At 40.4% G+C, this 24,096-nt stretch overlaps 1 protein-coding gene across 1 annotated transcript in view; it reads right to left on the bottom strand.

The window, feature by feature from the left end:
- Nucleotides 1-23,024, bottom strand: part of RARB (retinoic acid receptor beta) — a 768,612-nt gene extending 745,588 nt beyond the window's left edge. The window contains exon 1 of the mRNA NM_001290216.3: nt 22,942-23,024. The gene's annotated coding sequence lies outside the window, so the exon portion shown is untranslated. The remainder of the gene's footprint in view (nt 1-22,941) is intronic.

Raw genomic sequence — 24,096 nt, 5'->3', positions numbered from 1 at the left:
GGTGGGTTCGGTGTGGAGCCACAGTCTCTCAAATATTTGTTATTGTCTATCTTTTTTACTTAGCCACATATGGTTCACTCTTAATGTTGAAATGTGCGAAATGGTGCTTTCAGATTCGTCCCGCAAATATAAAAATACATCCAACATTTATTGGAGGCCTGCTGTATGTAATGTCTTTTAAATATATTACTGTTAACCCATCACTAACAAAATGAGATATCATCTATAGTTTATAAACAAAAAAATTAGGTTCAGAAAACTTAAAATTTCCCCATGGAATTCCAGCAAGCAGGTTGGAAAATCTGAATTCAATGCCACAAAACGTAAATGCAAGAGTTATTTATGCAAAAGTCAAGACATATTTGAAATACAAGCATGGGCTTCCGCTTACTACTCATGGCCAAGATATTTCTACTAATGTCATTAAAAAGAGGAATAAACAATAAATTCAGTTCTTTCTGATGATTATAGATTTTCCTTTGAAGAAACTATACTGAAATTCTAATGAACAATTTCATCTCAAAATTTTCTCTTAACATGTCAAATCCCAAAGCTGTAGTTTTGACTCAGGATTTAACCAGCAAGATATTTATGACAATCAAAGCTCAAATGAAACATACTTCATAGCAATGAAAATGCTGAATGGTTTTTATTAACTCTACTAAATCATTTTCTACCATCAAAAGATGTAAATTCTGACAACTGCTATTCATGTTTGAGTGCTTAAAAAACATTTATTGCCAGTTTCTGGAGTCCCGCCTGTGATTGAAGAGTATTGATGTTTCATCTAGCATGTATTGCATTAGGGATAGGCTGTTGGCAGAATGGCAGCCAAAGTCACTGGACGGAACCGCATCAGCTGAAAATCTTTAACTTATCACCTAATCGGGCCACAATTTCCTTTTTTTTTTTTTTTTGAGACAAAGTCTCACTCTGTCACCTAGGCTGGAGTGCAGTGGTATAATCACAGCTCACTGCAGCCTTGACTTCCCCAGAATCAAGCCATTCTCCCACTACAGCCTCCCTGGTAGCTGAGACTACAGGTGCACACCACCATGCCCAGCTAACTTTTTATATTTTGTAGAGGCAGGGTCTCATCATGCTGCCCAGCCTGGTCTCAAACTCCTGAGCTCAAGCAATTCTCCCCCTCTCAAAGTGCTGGGATTACAGGCATGAGCCACCAAACCAGGCCTGGCCACAACCTCTTGACCTACCCATGCCCTCTCCTGTCTCCAATATGTCTTCATCTGATCTACCCTTTGTCATTTAAATGGCCATTCTGCTTTCTCTAAGCTAATTCTTCCCTGCCTTGGAGATAATCTAAACACTGGCTTGAAATGATCAACATTTCAGAAAGGATAACTTCATTCCCTTAGGATTCATTATTTGACCTGTTTGACACAGGAGGTTTGCTAATGAGTACTTGCTTCCCTGTTTTGTTTTAGCATATCTGCTGATGTAGTTCCTTGCTCCTCAAAGTATGGCCCACAGACTGGCAGCATCAGCATCCTCTGCAAGCTTGTTAAAAATGCAGAATTTCAGGCCTCATCCTTGACCTACTGATCAGAATCTGCATTTGAACAGTCTCTCAGGTGATTCCTATGCGCTAGGTTATTAACTTTAGCACAGGCTCTCAGGTCTAACCCAAAGACCCAGAACCTCACATTACCCACTTGAAAACCTGCCCCATCAGGAGTAATAGCAAGGAACATTTATCATTCAGAAAGCACTTCCTACTCTTCTGTCTGCATAGGTTTCTTCCCTCTGCCCCCAAACATGCTAAAGCCACTCCCTATTAAACAACAAAATCTCTTGACTCTGTTATCCCTTAGAGGAAGAATGCAATATTGTTCACATTTATCTACTTCCTGCCCTCGTGGGAGTATCTAACATCCCCATCCTGTTGAGCCCAGAATTGCCTATATGACTTGCTTTGGCCAATGAAATGTAAGCTAAAGTGATATGTGTCATTTCCAAGCAGGAAACATTTCAGGCTTTGCAGACCGTAGGAACTCTCTCACAACTACTCAGCTCTACCTTGGTAGTGTGAAAGCAGCCTTAGAGACTACATGAGTAAATGGGTGACTGTTGCTATGGTCTGAAAATTCATGTGGTGGAAACTTAACCCCCAGTGCAACTGTGTTGGGAAGTGAAGGCTTTGGGGATGTGTTTAGGTCATGAGGGTTCTACCCACATGAATGGATTAATGCTGCTAGAAAAAGGGCTTGCAGGAGTGGATCCACTCTCTCTTGCCCTTCAGCCTTCTTCCAGGTAAGGACACAAATAAAAGGAGGTCTTCAGCAAATGCAATCATCTTGGTCTTGAACTTCCCAGCCTTCAGAACTGCGAGAAATGTCTGTGCTTTATAAATTACTCAGTCTCCACTATTAATTGTTATACCAGCACAAAACAAAGACAACTCTGCTTCAATGAAACTTTCTGAGTCCAAGTTTCAAAACTGAGAAGTTATTCTTAGCTCATCTACCACCCTAACTCCATCTACACTAAGCCAAGTATCAAATGCAAAACCACAGAATTTCCACCTGCAAGGATATTTGACATCTTTTAGCTCATTCCCATAATGGATGTTGAATGGGTAAACAGGTATGCTCAAAATGGCCTGCAAGCATATGCTGAAGTGTTGTTTAGTGTTTCTAAGCTCAAGAATGCTGCGATGTGCTTTATGGAGAAAATACCTGTATTTGAGAAGCTTCTCTCAGGTGTGAGTTACAGTCCTATTGGCTGTGAGCTCAATGTTAATCAATGTATACTAAATAAGGTGTCTTTAAACAGAAACACACATAAAACAAGGTTACATATCACTTAATTGATGGAAATGTTGTAACCAGAGGCTCACAGGAACCTAACCCTATATTTGCTAAGGCAGCAATCTTGGTGACTTTATAGAACATAAGTAGCGAGAATAACTGGAACCAGCAGCTTCTTGAGAGCCATTACTAAGCTCTGCCACAGGCACAGCCATTCTCACTTTGTCCATGAACACACGCGGCATATACAGTAGCTCCCCCCTTATCTGCAGTTTCCCTCACTGAGGGGCAACAATGGTCTGAAAACAGGTAATTATAGTACAATGCCATATTTTGAGAGAGACTACATTTACTTTACTTTTTTTTACAGTATATTGTTATAATTGCTTATTTTTATTAATCTCTTACTGTGTTTAATTTATAAATTAAACGTCATAAACTTTATCATGTATGTATAGGAAAAAACATAATATATATAGAGTTTGGGACTATTCTCCATTTCAGGCATCCACTGGGGGCCTTGGAAAGTATCCCCTGCAGATAACAGTGGACTACTATAGCCAGAACAGCTGGTTAAGGAAGTGTAAGCAGACAGGTAGATGTTGCAAGACAATGAAATTTAGTGCAAGGCTGTCCAAAGTGAGTAGTAAGGAGGAATCCATAATCAACATCAAATAAATTATTTCTTCTTTGGGTGGCCATAAGGCATAGACAGTCATACCCAGATATAAACACAGTTTATGACAGCAGCCTGAAAGGTCACACTAAGGCCTGAATTTTCCTTTAAGTAACTCTCTAGGACATCGTGAAGTAAAAAACAATCAATCATGGAAACAGATGGGATATAGAATATGCTGCTACGTTGCAATTAGTAAAAGGGGCTATGGATAAAGCAAAACTCATTATGCTGAAAAGCAGAAGCATTGCAAACAGCAAAAGACCTTGTGGTCAGCCACAGCTGTAAACTGAAGGACAGAGGTACCCTTCGTGAGGCAGAGAAAAGGCCAAAAATGATAAATACTTCCCAGGTTGTTCGCAGATGCTCATCCCAAACAAGGAAAAGCATTAAGTAGTACTTAGGCAGGAACTGAGAAGTCAATAGGCTTAAGAATGCTCTAGTCATGACTCAACAGCAGTCACCTATCTTTGTATTTAAAAAAACAGTTAAAAAGAAAGAGAGACAGTATTTGGATTTGATGTGTTTAAAACCTTACAGGGCCAGGCGCCATGGATCACACCTGTAATCCCAGCATTTTGGGAAGCCGAGGCATGCAGATCACTTGAGCCCAGGAATTCAAGACTAGTCTGGGCAACATGGCAAAAACCCTGTCTCTACCAAAAATACAAAAATTAGCTGCGCAAGGTGGCGCTTGCCTGTGGTCTCAGCTACTTGGTAGGTTGAGGTGGGAGGATCCTTTGAGCTCAGGAGGCAGAGGTTGCAATGAGCCGAGATTGTGCCACTGCACTCCAGCCTGGGCCACAGAACAAGACCGTCTCAAAACAATTTTAAAAATTTAAAAAGCCTTACAGCACAGAGGAGTGGAGATGTATTGATACTTTATATTTGAAGGCAAAACCCATAATCCTGAAGCATTGAGTGTGCCCCTAAAATGCTCTCTAAGTTTGTCAGGGATGAGTAGTCCACTTACAGTTGAAGTGGCTATGGGGCACCCCTGGTCTTTCCACATATAGGCCAGCTCTACTGCCTTGCTACTCAAAGTATGGTCCACAGCCAAGAAATGCAATATCACTTGGGTATTTGTTGAAAATGCAGACTCTGCAGCTCCAACCTAGAAGTACTGAATTAGCTTGTATTTTAACAAGATTTCCAAGTGATTCACATTTTAAAGCTGGAGCAGCAATGGCCTACAATTATGGTGGCCAACTACCTAGGGCCTGGTGTGAGCACCACAAGTCCCATGCAGTGTGAGAAACCTCTTCATCTCAGACACATCCAGACAGCTGGTCACCCTATTTTATCCCAATTCCACAACCAAAGGAAGTTCTCAAATGGAAGACTGAGACTCAAGAGCCACTTAGGGATTATTGTGCCCTGAAACAATTTCCCACTGTTTACGGTTTACTTTGGAGTCACATCTGGTTTTATGTGGTCTTCACATAAGGAAAGTAGAACAAGGGTGGAAGAATTCATATGGAAAACTAAGACTTTGAAGAACAATCTTCCTCCACACCCAATCTTCCACTCCAGAATATACCAGTCCAAGGAGTGCATTTTGAAACTGAGCGGAAACAAGACCAGGAGACATTCTTCAGGGGCCTAGAGTCATTCTGTGTGATTGGTTACATTATCACACCTTTCAAAGCCAGGGACAGCTGCTCTTGAACAATGGTTCTCAGACTTTAGCTATGTCAAAAGACACTTGCAGGGCTTATAAAGCACAGACGGCTGGTTCCCACCCTCAGACTACCTGATTCGGTGTGGTCCCAGATTAGCAGCATCCAAAACACAGGGAAGTGAGTGTAGAAGCAGAAGCTCAGGCACCATCCCAGACCTGTTGAGTCAGGATCTCTATTTTACCAAGATCTCCTGGTGATTTGCTTGCACAGTAACCTTTCAGAAGTATTCATATAGAAGACACTCTTACGAATTTGCTGAATCTGCATCCTGTGTATCAATACAACTGCTTAATCTTCTCATTGAGCAAATCTGAATTTCATGCTCTTCTCTTCCTTTTTTTTTTTTTTCCAATTTTGGCCATAGAATAGGTGGAAGTTCATTGCCACACAGGTACACAGATTAATTGTTAATAAGCAAGTTACTTTCAACACCAAGATTAGAAAGTGCTCTCACTGACAGTGAAGGAACATTTGCCCTGGCTCAAGGAACATAAGGTCTTCTGTTCTCTCCAGGGAAGCAGCCACTCAGGGGAAGCCACCACTCTCAGACTAGGGACATCTGGACACAGCCAGTGCCAGCAGCCTGTGTACTAGGCAGACATACTTCGGAATCCCTGCCCTCCACAACAGTTCCTGCAATTTGTTGGCCATACCTCATAGGAAAGTTTGATTCCTGCCAGATTAGCTTACTAAGGAAGAGCATATTCCCTTCTGCAAATAGATAATGCTGATGTCACATTTTCTACCTCTACTTCACTGTTGCCAATAACATAAGGCCACATATCCTGATATTTTCTTCTTTGAAGTCCTTGAACTGGATACCAGTTCTCCTGGAATTTTTTTAAAGAATGGTAATAACTAATATTTATGAAGCACATGTTAAGTGCCAGATATTGTCTTAAATACTTAACATTCCTTATCTTATTTAATCCACACAATAATCCAGGAGGTAGCTACTATGATTAGTCCCATTTTACACATTAGGGAATTTGAGACACAGAGTAGCTAATTAACTTGCCTAAGATCACCCAGCAGGCAGATTGCAGAGCCAGCACATTAATGAAAAAGATGTTAAACCACCAATTTTGTCTTACCTTTTCTTTCTAGAAAGCTCTACCTTAAAAAATAATGTAATAACAGAGTGTTGCATACAGGAGTAACCCTGTTGCACTGGAGAATGTCTTTTAACCTGCATGCATCTCAGCTCCTCCTGTGGTAAGTGGAATAATAATAAGCACTCTGCCTCTCGCAGAGGTATTGTGTAAGTCTGTGCCTGCATAGTGTAAACCGTAAAAGCACAGGACAAAGACAGTGATCAAAGGGATGGTAATCACCCCAAATAATTCATTAATTCTCACAACAACCTTGTGAGACACAGGAAATCGACTCTGGATTAATTGCTGGCAACTGTTAAAATGTGGCATGCCAAGATTCTATTCTTGTTCTTCAGGTGGGTGGAGGGGGGCTATCTGCTGCAGAGAACTGACTCTCAAGTGGGGGAGGGAATGTCAAACCTTTCCAAGGAGCTGCAGGAGAAACAGAAAAAAGAAACAGGGCTGTTCCCACCTGTACATGAGTGTAGCAATGACTGATAGATGATTGCCAAATCTGGCACATGGATAGGTTACATTTCTCAGCCTCCTTTACAGTTAAACATGGCCATAGGATTCAGATTTAGACAATGGGATGTGAGAAAACATGCCCCATCAAAATCTCCCATGCATGATTCTCTCTCTCTCTTGCCCCATCTGCCAACTGAATGTCAATACCCAGAGCAACCTAGGAAACCACACATGGAAGACAGCTGAGCCTTTGTTATCCTGGGTCCCTGAATGACTGTGTGGAATAATCCTTCTTACCTACTGCTCCTTCCTAGTCGAGGTATACCATTATTGCACTGCTTTCTACATATCACGTCACATTTAATTTTATTAAGCCACTGAAATTGGGTATTTATCTGATACCATAGCTAGTATTAGCCAAACCATTGATCAATGTCCCCTTTATCTACAAATCTGCTTTATGCCATTTTAAATATGTCACTCCTAATGCAAATTCCCATGAATAATGATTCCACCTAGGTTAGAAGAGGAAAATATCCTTAATAGATTAGGGGAGATTTTATTCTTATATGGATATTAATCTGATTGTTTTCCTAACTCCTGTGTGGGATTGGCCATCATGGGTAAATGACAGCTTTGATTGTTGAATAGAATAAGAAGAAATGTTTTGCAGCAAGGACAGAGGAGTTTGCTGAAGAGGAAGACGTTGGTCATTGTGATTTCACCATATTTCCAAGACCAAAGCAGACTTGGAAAGTGAGGTGGGATGGCTCCAAAAGTAAGTCACCTGACTTGACAATTTTGCCAAGACAGACCTGGGGAGCAGGGAGAAAGAGGAGGGTGAGAGTGCTAACTCCCTGGGGAAGCAGGTTCCAGATCGCAGGGGTCCAGAGAATAATGGTATGAACTTCACTGAAATATACTCTGTGTATAAGTTGATAAAATTCCATTTAGATATATTTATCACAATCTTATAGATTGAAGAAGTGCCATATTTGATTTGCCCAAGGTCATGCAGTACAATTCATTTCCCAAATCATCAAGGGCCTGCAGTTTTGTTTCTCACAGTCCTCAAGGCAGCAAGTTCTCTCCAGCAATTTCATCTTTCTCTGGGTAATATCTGCTCCCCAGTTTTTTCCCACTGCAGTCACATCGTATGCCAGCCTGGGAACCAACAACTTGGAAATTTGAAACCGATAGAGATTTTGAGACATTAACAGGTTAGTTGCAGACGTGGGAAAATTATAATCCTGGTGCAGTGCCATTGTACCTACTCTTTGTCTTTTATGAGCAAGAAAGACTATCACCAAGAGAAAACTGTTCCCAAAGCACTGTGGCACCAGCCTTGCCAGGCAGGGAAAAGAAAGAAAAAAAAGTGCTCCCAGGCCTTTGTTCTGGCTGCACGCATGTGACAGCTTTCAGAACCTCAGCAGATCTCCTGGCAAGAATGGCAGAGAGCAAACCCCTCCTCCCCATTGGGCAAGGGTAATGCCTCCTGGCAAAGACCTCAAGCACATCCATCTCCCTCCAGGCCCTTCTAGGGCTGCCGTGCATCTGCAGAACAGATGGGAGAGTCTGCTTGTCTGACTGTTGGCTGTTTTATTTCACTCAATAAACATTTATTGAGGATCTACTTGTGCCAAGCCCTAGGCTGAGGGATGTTCTATTGATGTATGTGCAAGTGAGCATGCATTGACCAAGGTACAAGTGCCGAGAGAATGTGTGTGTGTGTGTGTGTGTGTGTGTGTGTGTGTGTACCCTCAAATCACCAAAACAACAAAAGAATGGTGAAAAGGAATGGACAACCAAGAGCACAGCTGATCGACTTTGTCATAGGAGAAATGTCATGGTCTATCTCAGTGCTTCTCAAACTTGGCTGTGCACACGAATTACCTGGGTATCTTGTTAAATTGCAGATTTCAGTGCAGCAGGTCTGGGGTTGAGCCCTAGTTCTGCATTCCTGATGGGCTCCCAAATGATGCTGATGCTGCTCATCGGGGACCATAGTTAGAGTAGTAAAAGGCTCGTCTAATTTTCTTGCTGATCTGATATATTAGTTTGATGGTGTGTGGGCTGGCAGGAGATATATATTGGATTCAAATCTATATGAGGGAAATGAGTGTGTGGAACTCACTTTAAAATGGACCCAGAATGTGCCAGGTACTTTGTCTATGTAAATTCAACTAATTCTCACAGGTCGGTGATGTTACATCTCTTTTACAGGTGAGAAAATGTAAATTCAGGGCAATGAAGTACCTTTTCTGAGGTCCCACAGCTAGTAAGTATTAAAGATAAGATCTGAAATTAAGTCTCCCTGTCTTTTAAAATTAATGTTTTATCTACTTCCCTAAGGGGTCTCTTCATCCATTTAAGTTGGTTCCTGTCTGGAAGAGATGGTTTGAAGCACCAGATTTTGAATTGGGAGCTGCCGTCACATAGCCCCTTGACAGTCAGTGAAACCTAATATGGAATTCTCTGCTCAGCAGCATTGCCCAATTAATCCAATTTTTAAAGCATGGTTATCATTAAAACCTCTAGGTGAATGTTAAAAAAAATACTGTATTCACTGGTTTTCCCTTCGTGGTAATGATCTGACAGCAGTGAACAGGTATCAGTATCAAGAAGGTGATGGATTTCTGTCATGTCAGAGCAAAGGAAATAATAATGATAATAAAGGCCAAAGGTGAGATCTCTTCCAGTCTGAGAAGAAATACTGTGAGGACTGTTTACCAGGAGCCATGGGCTCAGCCCGGCAGTCTCCAGAGAACGAACATGTGACTATCGTTATGTGGCCCAGACAAGTATTCAAAATATATTGGGTTTCATGGTTAAAGAATTATGTTTATTGTTTCCTCTAATCAATTTGACTTCACAAAATAAAGAGTGATATATCACTCTTAAGTTCTTGGAAGAAAGGAGTGTCAGAAACCTTACAAATAAAGTATGTGTTAAAGAAAATGGGTATAGAGTGGGCTCTGAACTGAAGAGAGGATATATGGCCCACTCTTTAAGCTCATAGGAAATTGTGACCTCGAAAAAGTACCCAGGATTTCTCAAGAGGACTATTACTTAACAAAATCTCCACAATAACAAATGAATAACGGCCTGCCAAAGAATATAAATAGAAAAGGATTTAATATATATCCCATAGTTATGAGATTATTGGCCAAGGGAGTCTTGTGCTAATAAGATCACTCCCTCAACCCTCAAATCAAATTCCTCACAAAATCATATTCATATTACTAACCTTTATGAGGAGAGAAGATAATCCTCTATAATTTTCAGCCCAATTGGCATTTATTTTTCTATAAAGGAAATAAAGAAATCAAAACGATAAAATAATTCCATTTTGAAGTAGTTTTTAATGTGCTGACCTAACTATAGCTTTGAATTTATAATGGAATAGTTTATATGTTTTATATCTAAAGACAATGAATCTCTGATAAAACCCAAAAAATGAAAATAATCTGAATTATTTTCTGTCACTTGCTTATTTCCATAACTGTAGCCTGTCTTGGGCAGTTCTCAGTCTTTTCCCTCCCTACTTCATTCTATTACTCTCAGGAATGTTGCTCAATAGAAAATCGAACCAACAAAAATGGAGAATTCTTAATGCATCATTAGATCTTTGGAGCATGTAAATAGACTGCATCAATTAAAGGGGTCCAGGAATATATTTTCTGTCTTCTAATTATTAAAACTAAAAAGAGAGCATTTCTCAATAGGTTCTTTCATATTTAATTTTATTAGTTCTATGTAATTATATTTAAGATGAAGGATATAAAGTTCACTAAATAGCATTAATAAATGTAAAATAATAATTTCTAAAATGTGTGCAGTGTGTATATGCTATTTTTAAACCTTGCACATCTATTATTCTTCATAGATATACAACTGCTGCTTATAATTATGAAATATGTTTGCTAATTATTTCATTAGTAGTAAACCAGTTTTATTAGTTGTTATTTGTTATTACATTAGAGACATTTTTAAAAGACTATTAGGATTAGAATTATGTAATGAATTTGCCTTCTGTTGGTCTACTTGTTTTTTACTAATCTAAAATATCAAATGGACAGAATAGTGTTCAATTTTGATACAGGAGTTACTATAAATTTGGTTTCATTTTTCCCCGTTGAAACAGAATTCTCAACATGACTTTTCTATATATGGGATTTCAAAACTGCAACACACTGTCTGTAATATCCTAAATTGAACAAGGACTTCTTGATCCACTGCAGCAGTTTGAGTAATGGTTACATCTAAGCAGCAATTCTGACCAATTACAAGCACATGGTCATGGGCTGTGACTGAAGAGCAGGGTTTGTGTATGTATGATCTATGTTGACACTATTTCTGGAGCTATAGCAGGTAAACTCCTTTCTCCTAGTTAGGTTTTGAAATCTTATGTAATATTTTTAGAGATAACACCTTAGGTGGGAAAAATGGGAAAACGTCCATGGAATTGTTGAATTGAGTATACAATAAAGTTCAAGAAAGAAAATGGGGAAACATTTGGTTTTGATTGATGGTTTTTGTGTTTTACAGCATCTCCTGGACACTTATCTACAGCCAAAAAATATTTTAATGATATTTCAATTAGGATGTCTTTCTGTACTCTCTCTCCACACAACTGCCCCATTGATCTCCAAAATACTGTGCAAAACCCCTCATTGCATGTGAATCACAGTGCATTGTGGCATTTGTCTTCCTAGCTAGAACATAACTTTCAAGAAGCTAGGTGCTATGTGTGTGTGTTTCTTTTGTTTTTAGCCCCTACATCTAGTATATCTGGAAAAGGATAGATGTCCAGTAAACTTTTATTAAGTGATTTGGAAGTGGTTGTGCTCAATGTTATCTTTACATTTGTGCTCCAAGTCATCTTTGCATTTTTTTTTTTTTTTTTTTTTTTTTACTCTTACTCATGCCTAACTAAAGAAAATGGTTCTGTAGGGGCAACAGCAAATACTAACCATTTACATTCCAATGCTATAAAAGACATTTACATACATTGTTTCAGGCAACCCTTTCAAGCCCATGAGTTAGGAAACTTGGTTTTATATGTCATACAAAAGAAATCTAAAGCTCAGAGAACTTATGTATCTTTTCCATATACATGGTTTAGCTGGAATGTTGTGAAAGCAATACTTGCATCAGGTCCTTAGGCATCAAGTCCAAAACTGTCACTACGAACCCACAGCAACCATCATTCCTTGCTGGGCATTTCTGGGGAAAACCCTCCATCCACCTCAGCTAAGGGGGCAATAGACAGAGAAGCAATGGAGGATCAACTGATTCAAATTCTAACTATTCTGTGCCTTTATACCTTCACAGCTCCATTTAATAAGTGACAGATAAATATTGATCCCATCTAGGCAGTTACAAGTCTGTTATTTTTAAATCCACAGCATAAGAATTGATGGTGGTTGATAAGATGCCAGGTGTCCAGATCTAGAATCTTGTTACAAGAACCATAGCAGTAATACTTAAGTGCTTTAAAAGTATCATCCATTTAATCTTCACAACAACCTCTGAATTAGGTGCTAATTATATCATTCTGCAGGTGAGAAAACCTACACTCAGAAAAGTGAAATAATCTTGCTGGAGGTCATTTATCTGGTGAGTGGTAGAGCCCTAACTCAAAGTCTCATTAGTTTGAGTCATAGAGCTGTGCTCTCAGCTATGATACCATCCAATCCCCTGCTCCCACTCAGCTGGAGACATTTTCTAAAACCTTATGAACCTTAAACTCGATTTGTAGGATACATTTTTCGAGCCTCTTCATGCACTTCGATTCATTCTTTTAAAATTATTTTTAAATTAGTATGCATTTTAAAAGGATATTCTCTCCCTAGTTCTAAACACGAGTATAATTTTGTGACAATCTGGATTTGTGCTTCAATTACCCAAACTGTTTCTTCCCCCACCCCCCCCCCCTTTTTTTTTTTTTTTTGAGACAGCGTCTTGGTCCGTAGCCTAGGCTGGAGTGCAGTGGCATCTCGGCTCACTGCAACCTCTGCCCCTGAGGTCAAGAGATCCCCCCACCTCAGCCTCCCAAGTAGCTGGGACCACAGATGTGCACCGCCATACCCAGCTAACTTCTGTATTTTTTTTTTTTTTTCAGAGACAGGGTTTCTCTGTGTTGCCCAGGCTGGTCTCGAACTCCTGGGTTCAAGCAGTCCTCTCACCTCAGCCCAAAGTGTCGGGATCATAGGCATGAGCCACCATGCCTGGCTTCCTTCCCATTTTTTTCAAATTCAGTGGATAATTCATCACAATTTATCCTTATCCCTTTTACTTGTGGAAACCCAAACCTAAAAAGTATAAATCAAGAAAAAGTGGTATTCTAGGCACTCAAATAAGGTTAAACACTCAAGAACAGCACTGCAGCAGTATCTTCCTTATTTTTTGTTTATATTTTTTACTATGGATTAACAAAAGTAGACCACTAAAGTTGCATGCACTTTTACTTCTGAAAGCTGAAGCCACGAACTTCCTAGTCTTACTATATTGGAGTAAATTAGTATCTTTGTCAATGCCAGTTCCTAAATTGAGTATTTTCTATCATATTAAATACTTTTTTACTCAAATATGTACTTTAGTCCATATGACTAAAACCATAAATTGCTAACCGGCAGCCCACAAGCCAAATTTCATCCCATAATATATTAGGTTTTGGTGCTTCTTTTGTTTTTAATTTTGATTTAGTTGACATTAAAAAAAAAAAAACCTGGAGATTTTACACAGATTTCCAGAGTCACATAAAAATTCAGATTTCTAAACCCTCATATAATTTGTCATTACTAGGCTGAAATTGCTCCAAAGTAAACAAGTGCCTGGAGCTAAGTTAGGGCTGCCCTCTTTCATGTTCTTAATCCATACTGCTATTGCCATATATTATTGCTACCTCCCTTCTTGACTCCTGACTCCTGAAGGCATTTGAATGTTCCATCCCAGTACATGAAGTATTCTTTGTTTATTTAAGCTTACTTTTTGGAGGCCACATCTCATAAAATTAAATAAACTATTTCTGTTTTGTTTAATACCATGGCTATCTTTACTCTGCAGTGGCTTTATTACAGGATGTACTAGAACATCATTGCTTTGTCCTTTGCCAAAAGCTTATAGCTTTCCAATATACTTGTCAAGCTATAGTGTCTGATAGTTTTTAGGTTTTCTGGTCTGTCTCAGTTGACAACCATATCATCAGAGGTAGACTTCATGGGCCCTGGTAAGCAAAATTCTGGCCATGCTATCTGTCACTCTGCTATTGCTCCTGTGAATAAGTTACCTTTCATGGCAAAAGAAATTTTGCAGATGTAATTAAAGTTACTCATCAATTGACCTTAAAAAAGGAGATATTATCCTGGATTATCTAATCACACAAGCCTTCAAAAAGCTGAGAAATTTCTCTGGCTGCAAGTAGAAGAGATGTAGGAAAAGTGGAAGTCAGAGAAATTGGAAGTACAAGGACTCACTGTTGCTGACTTTGAAGAAAGATAGAGCCAAAGAATGGCTCTAAAAGTTGAGAATGATCCCCAGCGGACAGCCAGCAAGGAAATAGGGACTTTAGTCTTAGAACCACATGGAACTGAATTCTGCCAACAACTTGAACAAATCTGAAGGCAAAATCTTCTCTTAAACCTCTACATAAAAGTTCAGGGTAGCTGATGCCTTGATTTTTGGCCTGGTAAGCCTGTCTGGACTTCTGACTTACGGAAATGGTGATATAGTGAATGTGTGATGTTTTCAGCCACGAATTTTGTGTTAATGTGTTAAGGCAGTGATAGAAAACTAATACAGGCTTCATGGCCACTGGTGACCCTAATGAGTAATATCAGAAAACCTCAGAATGCTTCATTCACAGCAATCACTGTTTCCTTTTTGGTGTGACTTTGTCATTAATCATTTATGTTTCCAAGCCAATTCTGGTGATTTAGAGCCTGTACTAGTTTTCGATCTGTGCCATAACAAAATTAACACAAAGAGAAAATAAAAGGGCCAAAATCAGTACTGAGAAAATAAACTGAGTACTGTGAAAATCACATAGAATCTGAACCTCTTCAATTTAAATGTTTCAGCACTATCTCTTTTAACTGTAACATTGAATATATTCATATGTGAAGCAAGCAAAAAGCTATCTACTCTAAGTTTTACTTCTTTATTAAATTATCAAAAGAAAACCACAATTGTCATTGTAACAGTGAAACATTTAATACAGTTCTCAAATTAAACGCAGAACACATTTACAGAAGCCATCAATTTGGGATCTTCTTTGTCAAACTCTGTTTTTCAAACAATATTTTAGTACTAAGCCTTATTTCACTAGTGGAAAAATCTTAAAGAAGACAAGACTATATATTCATTCAACACAAGACTGTTTAAACTTTACTCACCTCTGTGATCTCTACCAGTTGCAGATGACCACATTATTCATGGTTTAATACCAGGAAGATGTGGGATCTGCAAGTAAAGTATTCTCCACCTTGGATATTACTTGGCTAACTCAAGTCATTCATCCATTCAACAAAGGAGGCCAATGGATAAGGTCAAAGAGGTAAACTATATGATAAGGTTTTCTTCATAGGACATATTGCTATCTGAAATTATCATATTATTTGTCTAATTTATTGTGATATATGTCTCCCAACAGAACGTCAGCCCCAAGGGGCTGGTGAATTTGCCTTCCTGTTTATTGATGGACATCCAACCTTTAGACTGGTAGATGCTCAATAAATACTTATGAAATAAATACATATATAAATGATAAAAAATCTAGGTCAGCATCCAGAAGTTCCGATATACTACCGTTATTCACATTCTCTAATTTGTTTCTGTCCCTCTTTTTCCTAACGTGAATTTTTCCAAAGTATCTTCATTAAAACGGTAAATCCTCTCCTTGTGCATTTATTCAACAAACACTATTGAGCACCCTGGATATTCCCTGTCTCGCTCAAGAATCATTTACTCATTCATTTATTGATTTATTCAACAAAGGAGGCCAAGGATGAGGTCAGAGAGATAACAGGGGCCAGATCATAAAGAGCTTGGTAGGACACTGTAAGGTCTTGGGCTTCTAGTAAGAGTGAGATGGGAAGCCATTTGGAGGATGCTGACACAATAAATGTCATATTCTGATTAACATTTTATTAAGGCCAATGTAGCTATTATGTGAGGCAAGGGTAGAAACAGGATCTCCAGTCATGAAGCTGTTGGAATACTCTCATGTTTTTTGACTGCCAGTGTTTTCATGTAATTCAAACTAGGTTCTTGAACAAACTTTGCTAGAAAACAGGAGTCATATTTGAAACTCTTAAAAGACACACAGCACTGATTGCCAGCTGTCCTCTCTTATATCCAGTCCCTTGCCACGTATAGGATCCTGGGACATTGCTGCTGCAAATAATTACAGACCTAATTCCAATTGCCTCCATTCACAAAAGAGGAGATTTTGCTTTGCTCATTCCTTGGTGGTCAAGGTTCATTTCCTTTACACAATGCTATCTTATTTCTCTTCTGCTCAGATCTAGCATTATCCACATTCACTCTCTCAAAAGACAAACTATACCATGCTTACCTAAAAATGTTAAAGTGCATTGTCCTGAAAGAGAACACAGAGCATTTGCAGAGCCACTCAAGTCTTTTCCAAAGCCCATGATGCTTAGGTCATCCCAGACTGAAAATCCCACTTGTTTTCAGGCTTCCCCAGTAACCACGTTGAAGAGACAGTCTGTGGTGAATTGCCTCTATCATGCTTTCTTGTGAAGGATCTAACCTTAAGATGGACTCAACTGACCTATATAACTTGGGCCCCCGGGGCCAATGAATGCAACTTTCACCACCCACTGTTTCTTTGAGGTGTGTCCATATTAATGTAGATACTGTGGCTTCTGGGCATCTCGACAGCGCTCTATCATTATGAATATATTCATAGATATAGAACCTGGCTGTTACTGGGGAGGTGCCCTACTACAGACTACAGAATAAAGAACAGCAGTTAAGAGGATCTGAATTGCCACTCCCATGCTTTTGGTTCTGCAACCTTTGTTCCAGTCATTTAACCTTGTTAAGGCTGTTTCTTTACCCTATAATATTAGCCTACTGGGTGTGAGTAATAAATGCAATAACATGTGCCGAACTTTTAGTACAGAGTCTGGCACATACAGAGCACTCAATCAATATTAGTAATCATCATTTAAAAGCCATTACTCTAATTTTCACCATCCCTGTGAAGATGGACATGAATCTTCCAAAATGGTACCTGAATTCAGGAAGTTATTTGCTTGGCTTGCTACCTTTCTGCCACCTGCTTGTAAAAACAACAGTATTGGAAAAGGGGCATTCTAGAGCATGGTAGCATGGATCCACAGACACATTTCATCAGTTCTCTTTCTTCCATCTTTTCTATGTTTACTTATTGGCATAGGTGAAACTGAGACAAGAGTTTAAACTTCTTGATATAAGTTTGACATGATGAATGCAAAGACCACCAAGTACAAAAGGCAAAAGCAATGCTGTAGATTAAATCCGATAATGGTGGAAACAGCCAGGGCAAAACTCACACATATATTTTTATTTTGTTTGTTTTTGCTTATATAAGAGTGATGAAGAAAGACAATTTAAAAGGATAAGGGACAGAAGAAGGGAAGAGAGAATGGAAAGGCACAGCAGAAAGTGAAGAAAGAAAAAGGAAGAACTGAAGACGATGAAAGAAATAAATAGGGGAAAAAAAGGAAAAAGGAAAGGAAGAAATAAAAGGAAAAGGGAAAGTTACTATGAGACTGGTTCTACAGCCCAGAGCAATGCAAAAGCAAAAGCCAGGATCAGCACAAAAAGACTAACAGAGAATATAAAGTGGGCTTACAATTGAACAAATTCTTCTTGCAGTCCTGTTACTCTTTTGTGAATAAAACTGCTTCTATCCCTAGAAAATTGAGACTTAGATTTTTCTTGACCTTCGAGTCCAATGATACCACTGAATGATCACTTGACTCTTGTTTACATGATTACATTGACGTCATCACTGCTCTTTTGAGAGAGGTAAAACCTTCCACGTCTCAGATGTACCACATACAAAGTGAAGTGAACTCAAGGATGCCGGTTATGCTCAGAACAGTGGCTTCCTAGTGAAAGAGGGGAAGCCTGCTACAACAGTTCTGGGGTTGACATTGATGATACTTCTCACTCAAATATTTTGCTTTCATTTTTATTTTTTGTCAAAAAAATCTGTATACAACATTGAACATGCTTGATTCTCAGTCTCTTAAATGTATTTCTAGGTTTTTTATTATATGTACTGTGCTGGCCAAGAGAAAAAAACAGGCTATTCAAGATTATGATTATTTAAATTTGCTCTTTTTTAGTGGTAGAAATTAATCTGATTTCATTTTCCTAAAATTAACAATCAAACATAGTACTGTGTTCCAAATTTGGCAAAAGTGAAATTCCATAATCTGTCGCTTTAGCGTGGGATCCACCAAGCATATTTCTCAGCTCACAAAGGACTTCTACCTTGGAACATATCCAACCTCTTAGTATTGAATTGGTGAGTTACCATGAAAGGTATAAGCTCTTTCTTAATTGATGTTCAACCTCCTAACATTAGATTGTGTGAAACTTATATAATCTGCAAAATATAGCAAATCAGTTTATCTTTAAATAGTGATACTAGTCACACACATCTATCATGTCAGGACAAAAATAATAGGTGAAAGGTGATATCGGCCTGGACACTAGGGGTTATGATAGAGGTGAACAAAGGTGAGATATGAGCAGGGGTATTAGTCCAAAATACTTATCAACTGGTATGGCTAGAGCACTGGCCAATCAGAACAAATGCAGACTATAATCCACCAATACTGGCAGGTCTACCTGTGGGTATCAGGCACATGCCTACCTTGGACACAATGTACATGATGAATTAAGAAATAATTGAGGCAAAGGAATAAATCTAAGTTTCTGAACTGAACAATTAGTATGGTACTGTCATTTCCCCAAATGAGGAAGACTAAAGAGAATAATTTTAGGAGGTTGTTTGTAGTGATAATATAACCTTTAATTTTGTGTGTAAAATGTTAGATATGCTTGGGAAACATCCAAATGGAGACGTTAAGTGGGCAATTGAATAGATGTTGCTGAAGCTCAGAGGCCAGGAATGGATTAGAGACATAAATTGAATTGTTGTATGGATAAGACTTAAAACCATGAGAATGAAAGATATTACCTAAAGCGGAAGCTGGGGAGGGAAGAGGAAGGCAATATAAAAAAGATGGGCCAGAATATAGCCCTAGTGTTGGTAAGATCCAAGCTTTATTTAGAGATGAGATCATGAAAGTGGAGCCAGCTGGGAAATAATAAACCCTAAAGAGGAGAATTAAAGGCATACAGTCTCATAGAAGCCACCAAAGTCACTGAAAGATGCCAACAGAATATACCTTATGACAGAAAAGGGACGAGTCAGCTCTGTCCAATGCTTCAAGAAGTTGAGTAAGAGTGCAGATCGCTGCTCAGTAGTCACTGCTGACGTCAAGAGAAGTTGTTTTCATAAGCGGTGGAGGCAGAAGCCACACTGGAGGAGGACAGACAGTAAGGTAGAGAGGAGGTGGAGATTAGCATGTGGAGATTAACATGTGCAGACAAGCCTCACCAGAAGTTTGACAATGACACGGAGAAAAGAAATGAGGTAAGGGATGCTGAGAAGTATGGGATCCAGAGTTTGTTTTAAACATAGAAGACATTAAAAATATGTTGACATGTAATTGTTGTAACAACTCCATGATTTAGGGAAGTGTTATTTCTCTCATTTATCAGATGAGAAAACTGAGGTTCAGAGAGGTTAAATAACTGGATCAGGTTCTCGTAACTAGTAAGAAAAAGAGCTGAAAGTTGAGTCTAGCCTATTTCATTCCCAAGTTCTAGGATAGGTGGACACTTCTCATATGTTATTGCATTTATTTTCCCACATAACTGTTTTCTCATTTTAAGAATTTCATTTTTAATTGACATTATATATATATATATATATATATTGGGACTCAATTTTTTCTAAATACAGGGGATGAGTCTAACTCATCCTTGAATCCCCAATACATAGTACAATATCTGGTCATTAATAATGGGTACTTAAAAAATGCATGTTGCATAAATGAATAAACAAATAAGTTTGTAGCCAACTAACTGCTAAGAACTTACCCCAATCTTACACAGTCACCAGGCTCCACTGTAATGAACAGCTTGCTTCCCACTTAAAAATTTTTTTTCTCTGTACTTGAAATATATACAAAGTCCTTATTCTCACATGGAATCTATTCTCAGGTAATACTGATTTCACTGTGCTGTTCCACATGAGATCAGCATATTTGTATGGGAAGGAAAAGGGATATTCAATCACTGTGATATTTTATGAGCCTGGTAATAATAAATAGATATTTTTAAACATTCATATGCTTGATTGATCCTTCTTAACCACATGTTTTGCTCAGCTGTTTTGCTGGCATTTTACTTTAGAGCCTTTTTAAAGCAGTTATTATTTTTTCCCTTTATCATATGAGTAAAGAAGTTTTCACAAATGTCCCTAAGGTTAAAACAATGCACAATACTTTTAAAATGTGTGAACTCTGATGATTGTCTTAAGATGTTAATAACTTAAGTTTCTGCTGAAATAATTTTGTTTTGAACTTCTTCCAATAAACTCCTTCCTTCTCACTTTCAGAAAATTTAACCTTTGAAAGTCTGAACAGAAAAAAATAGTTATTCAGATTAACAAAACTGCTTCATCACACAATGTGTAGCTCTTCAATTTAGTTTTGTTATGATTTGCTAGCAAAGAAGTTTAGGGTCTGTCCATCTCCTAATTACGTATATATTGTTAAAGCTACCTGAGCCAAGTTAAATAAAATAAGGATGCCTAAAGTAGGTTAAATTTGCATTCTGATTATTTGCAACAGTTTCTAACCCCACAGTTTTTTTTTTTCCTTCATGCTTTAGGTAAGAATTACCTACTAGTTCCCCCCCACCATATCTATAAGCATCATGTATTTTTTTTTGTCCAAGAAGGAATATACTATACAATTTAGCTATTCATTTATGCAAATGATGGTAAACAGAATTATAAAGACAGATAATAAACAGCAAATGAGGTTATTTTGTTTCACGCTTTCTGTTGTCAGAGTTCTGAGCATGGTTTAGTGTTTTCTATTCATGACTTTATATTACCAAATTACTCCCTGATGGCGTCTCAGATGTGCTTTTGTCTGCAAATGAGAAGGAATAAAATACCAGGACATTAACGTTAAATTACAATCGTTAATGGCGTAAATACGAAAATAATTACTGCATCATACCATCAATTGTTATGTGTTCATTACTGAAGTTCTTGTAAAGCCTTCATTTTCTTGTTACAATTATTTTTTGCTTTATTTTTGTCTGGCTATTTTATAGCCCTGACAGTACTTTAGCAACATTCAGCAGTTACACAAGCCATTTAATCCGGCTCAAAGCTTCATTTAAACTTCATTTAGCTGCATTTTATTTGTGTATATATGCCTTTTACTTCTTTCTGACTGTCAAAAGGTACTTCTGGAGTAGGTGCTGCAAAGATGTGTCAAAGGAGGCTATCTAAAACCAGCAATAAACTTCAGAGAGGGTTTTAGACTTACTTTAACATGGCTCGATAAGATACCTTTATTAAATAATCAAACTTATTGCACCCCCATCCTGTAAAATTTTAGCTTCAGGGCTCTTTTCTTCTTCTTCTCCTACTTCTAGCACCTCTTTTAAAAATTAATTTATAAATCTGCGTCCAATTAGGCAAGATGCTTTTAAATCTCGGCTCTCGACTCTCTCCCATTCGGTTTCTTATCCTCCGCTCCGCCTCACCTGTCTTTCTCCCGCTCCTACCTCTTTCCTCTTCTCTCAGTGGTCCCTCCATAACTGGCAGGACAGGGACCCCCTCCAGATAGACAGACGGACAGACACACACACACACACACACCCCACACTCTGGCCGCCTGGTCCTGGAAGGGTCGTCCAAATGCACCCTTTTGTCTGTTCCACTCCGCGACCATCACTTCGCCTCTGCCTGCTTGCCTCCGGCGGGGAGTGTCAGGGAAACTCACCCCGCGCTGAGAGCTGGAAGGGGGCGGGGCGGAGGGGTGTGGAGGCACAGCGGGCGGTCCAGCACCCGAGCATCCTTAGCCACGGCGCGCGCGCACGTACACACACACACACACACACACGTCTTCTGTCACCTGTTCACTTTCAACGCCAGCTCTAGCTCTAGGTAAAACTTATCCCTCGTACCCACCCCCACCCCCACCTCCGGGAGTCCACCTACAAGACATCGGCGTGCACACCTTTTTCAAAATATCTGGAGGGAGAAAAGTGCACACTGGGGCACACTGCAATTACATAGATTCCAAGTACCTCTCTCTTCTCTGTTTTTCCGCCCATCGTCTCTACAATCACACACAGCCTCTTCCTGCCAAAGCGCGCACACAGCAAGAACCCCTTCGCGGCTGACAGTCCAGGCTTAGAGCCTCAGCCTCCAGGGCTCGGTCCCTGGCCGCGTCCCTGTGTCCGGCGCCAAGCCCCTAGTACTCTTCTCCAACTCCTGCCATGTGCAGCCTGGCGCTACCCGCTCCCTAGGCCCAGCCAATGCTCAAACTTTTTCTCGCCCTTTCTTCGGCCCCAAAGCATGCTGCAACCCAGAGGTCCGACACCCCGGCCTGGAGCTTAGATCCCCACAGGGGAATGGAGCGAGAACCTCTGCTCCCAAGGGCGCCAGGTTTCGCCGTGCCCAGCCCTAAGGTGCGCAGGACAGCGCTGGACCCGGCAGGGACGCGAAGGGAGCCGGGGCGGATCCGGCTGGCAGGTGCAACTTGCCAGCGACTCCTGGGTTCACGCCCCTGGGGAGGGCGGGTTTGGCCTAATGAGAACAAAGCTGGAGTCCGGGGAGACTGTCAGACAGGCGCTAAGACAATAGCAATAAAGGGAACTTGGAAGAGGACTGCTGCGCAAAGTTGTCCGCGAGTCCAGATGTCCTGGGATCGGTCGCGGGCTCCCGCTGCAGACCCCCCAACCCCCAGCCCCCGGCCCCGCCGCGGTACACGCAAAATCCCTGCTAGGCAGCCGGTCCCTGGATGCCATGCAAATGCCCTGGTCTTCCAGACCCAGCTTGGGGCTCCGGGGACGCTAGGGGCTTGGACAGCAGCCACCCAACAGGAAGACCCGCCAGCGCGCTCTCCTGGCTTTACCTTTTGGCGGGCTGCCTTGGAGTCCGCGGCGCGCCGCCCGCTGGCTGTGCCCTCAGCCCCTGCCGCCGCCGCTGAGAGCAGACAGCGGGAGCCCGGCTCGCTGCGCCCCGCCCCCTGGCGCCAGGCCCCGCCCCCGGGCGCCACGTCCCGCCTCTCCACGCTGGCCCGCAACCGCGCGGAGCCACGACGGCCCAGTGGGGTTTCCGCGTGAGCTGAGCCGGAGGCGGCGGCGGCCGCGCCTGCTACTGCTGCCACTGCTGCTGCTCTGGTTGCTGCCCCTGCCGCCTTCACCGCTGTGGCTGATGCATGCCACAGGCCAGCCAGGATGTCCCAAGTTGCCAAGGGGTACCGCCACCCTCCTCCGCAACAAAAGAAAATGAACTCCAGAATAGGACTACTCTGAGTGGGTTACATGCACCTGCAGCATCAGCATCACCTGGGGGCTTGCTAGAAATGCAAATTTCTGGGCCCTAACCCAGATCTAGTGAACCAAAATCTCTGGGAAGGGGGCCTAGCATTGTGTATTTTATGAAGCTCTCAGGGAGATTCCAAGCACATTAAAGTTGGAGAAGCACCGCCAAGAGAACTAAGTGGCTGATGAGATGCATGCTCCCTCAGTCCTGAGACCCACGAGCCCACCCTGGCTGAGGGTTTAACTTGGCAGTGTTTGCGAAGCTCAAGAGTACTTGTCTGCGCCCTGGATGTCATTCATCTTGCTTTATTGACTGAGAAGTCTTTAGAGATAAACAGAGGGGGGAATACATTTACTTCTGATCTGACAGCTCTAATGAGCTCAAAGAAGAATTCTGTAAACATTATTAAGTGTAATAAACACGTGTCGGCATCAGGCAATCTTCTCTGGAGAAGGCTTGGCAAAAGCCGGCATGAGCCAACGTTTTATTCATAATGTCTTTTTAACTTTATGTTGCCTGTGTAATAGGCCTTTGGCTTTGCTGTTGCCCAGACGGAAAATCATTACCCCAGTAATGGATGAGCCAGTTCAAAAGGAGAACCACTGGGACGCTGAGCACTTTCATTCCTAAATGCTATGTATGAGACACGAGGGAAACCATCTTCTGCCAATGTGCCATTTTAATTATCTAACTGGTGTACAGGTTTCTTGTTTCAACTTCCTAAGGCATCAACTATAGAAAA

The sequence above is a fragment of the Homo sapiens genome, chromosome 3, assembly GCF_000001405.40.
Source record: "Homo sapiens chromosome 3, GRCh38.p14 Primary Assembly".
In the NCBI taxonomy this organism is placed as follows: domain Eukaryota; kingdom Metazoa; phylum Chordata; class Mammalia; order Primates; family Hominidae; genus Homo; species Homo sapiens.
Note: the sequence above shows the minus strand (reverse complement) of the source record. Positions and strands in the feature narration are given on the sequence as shown.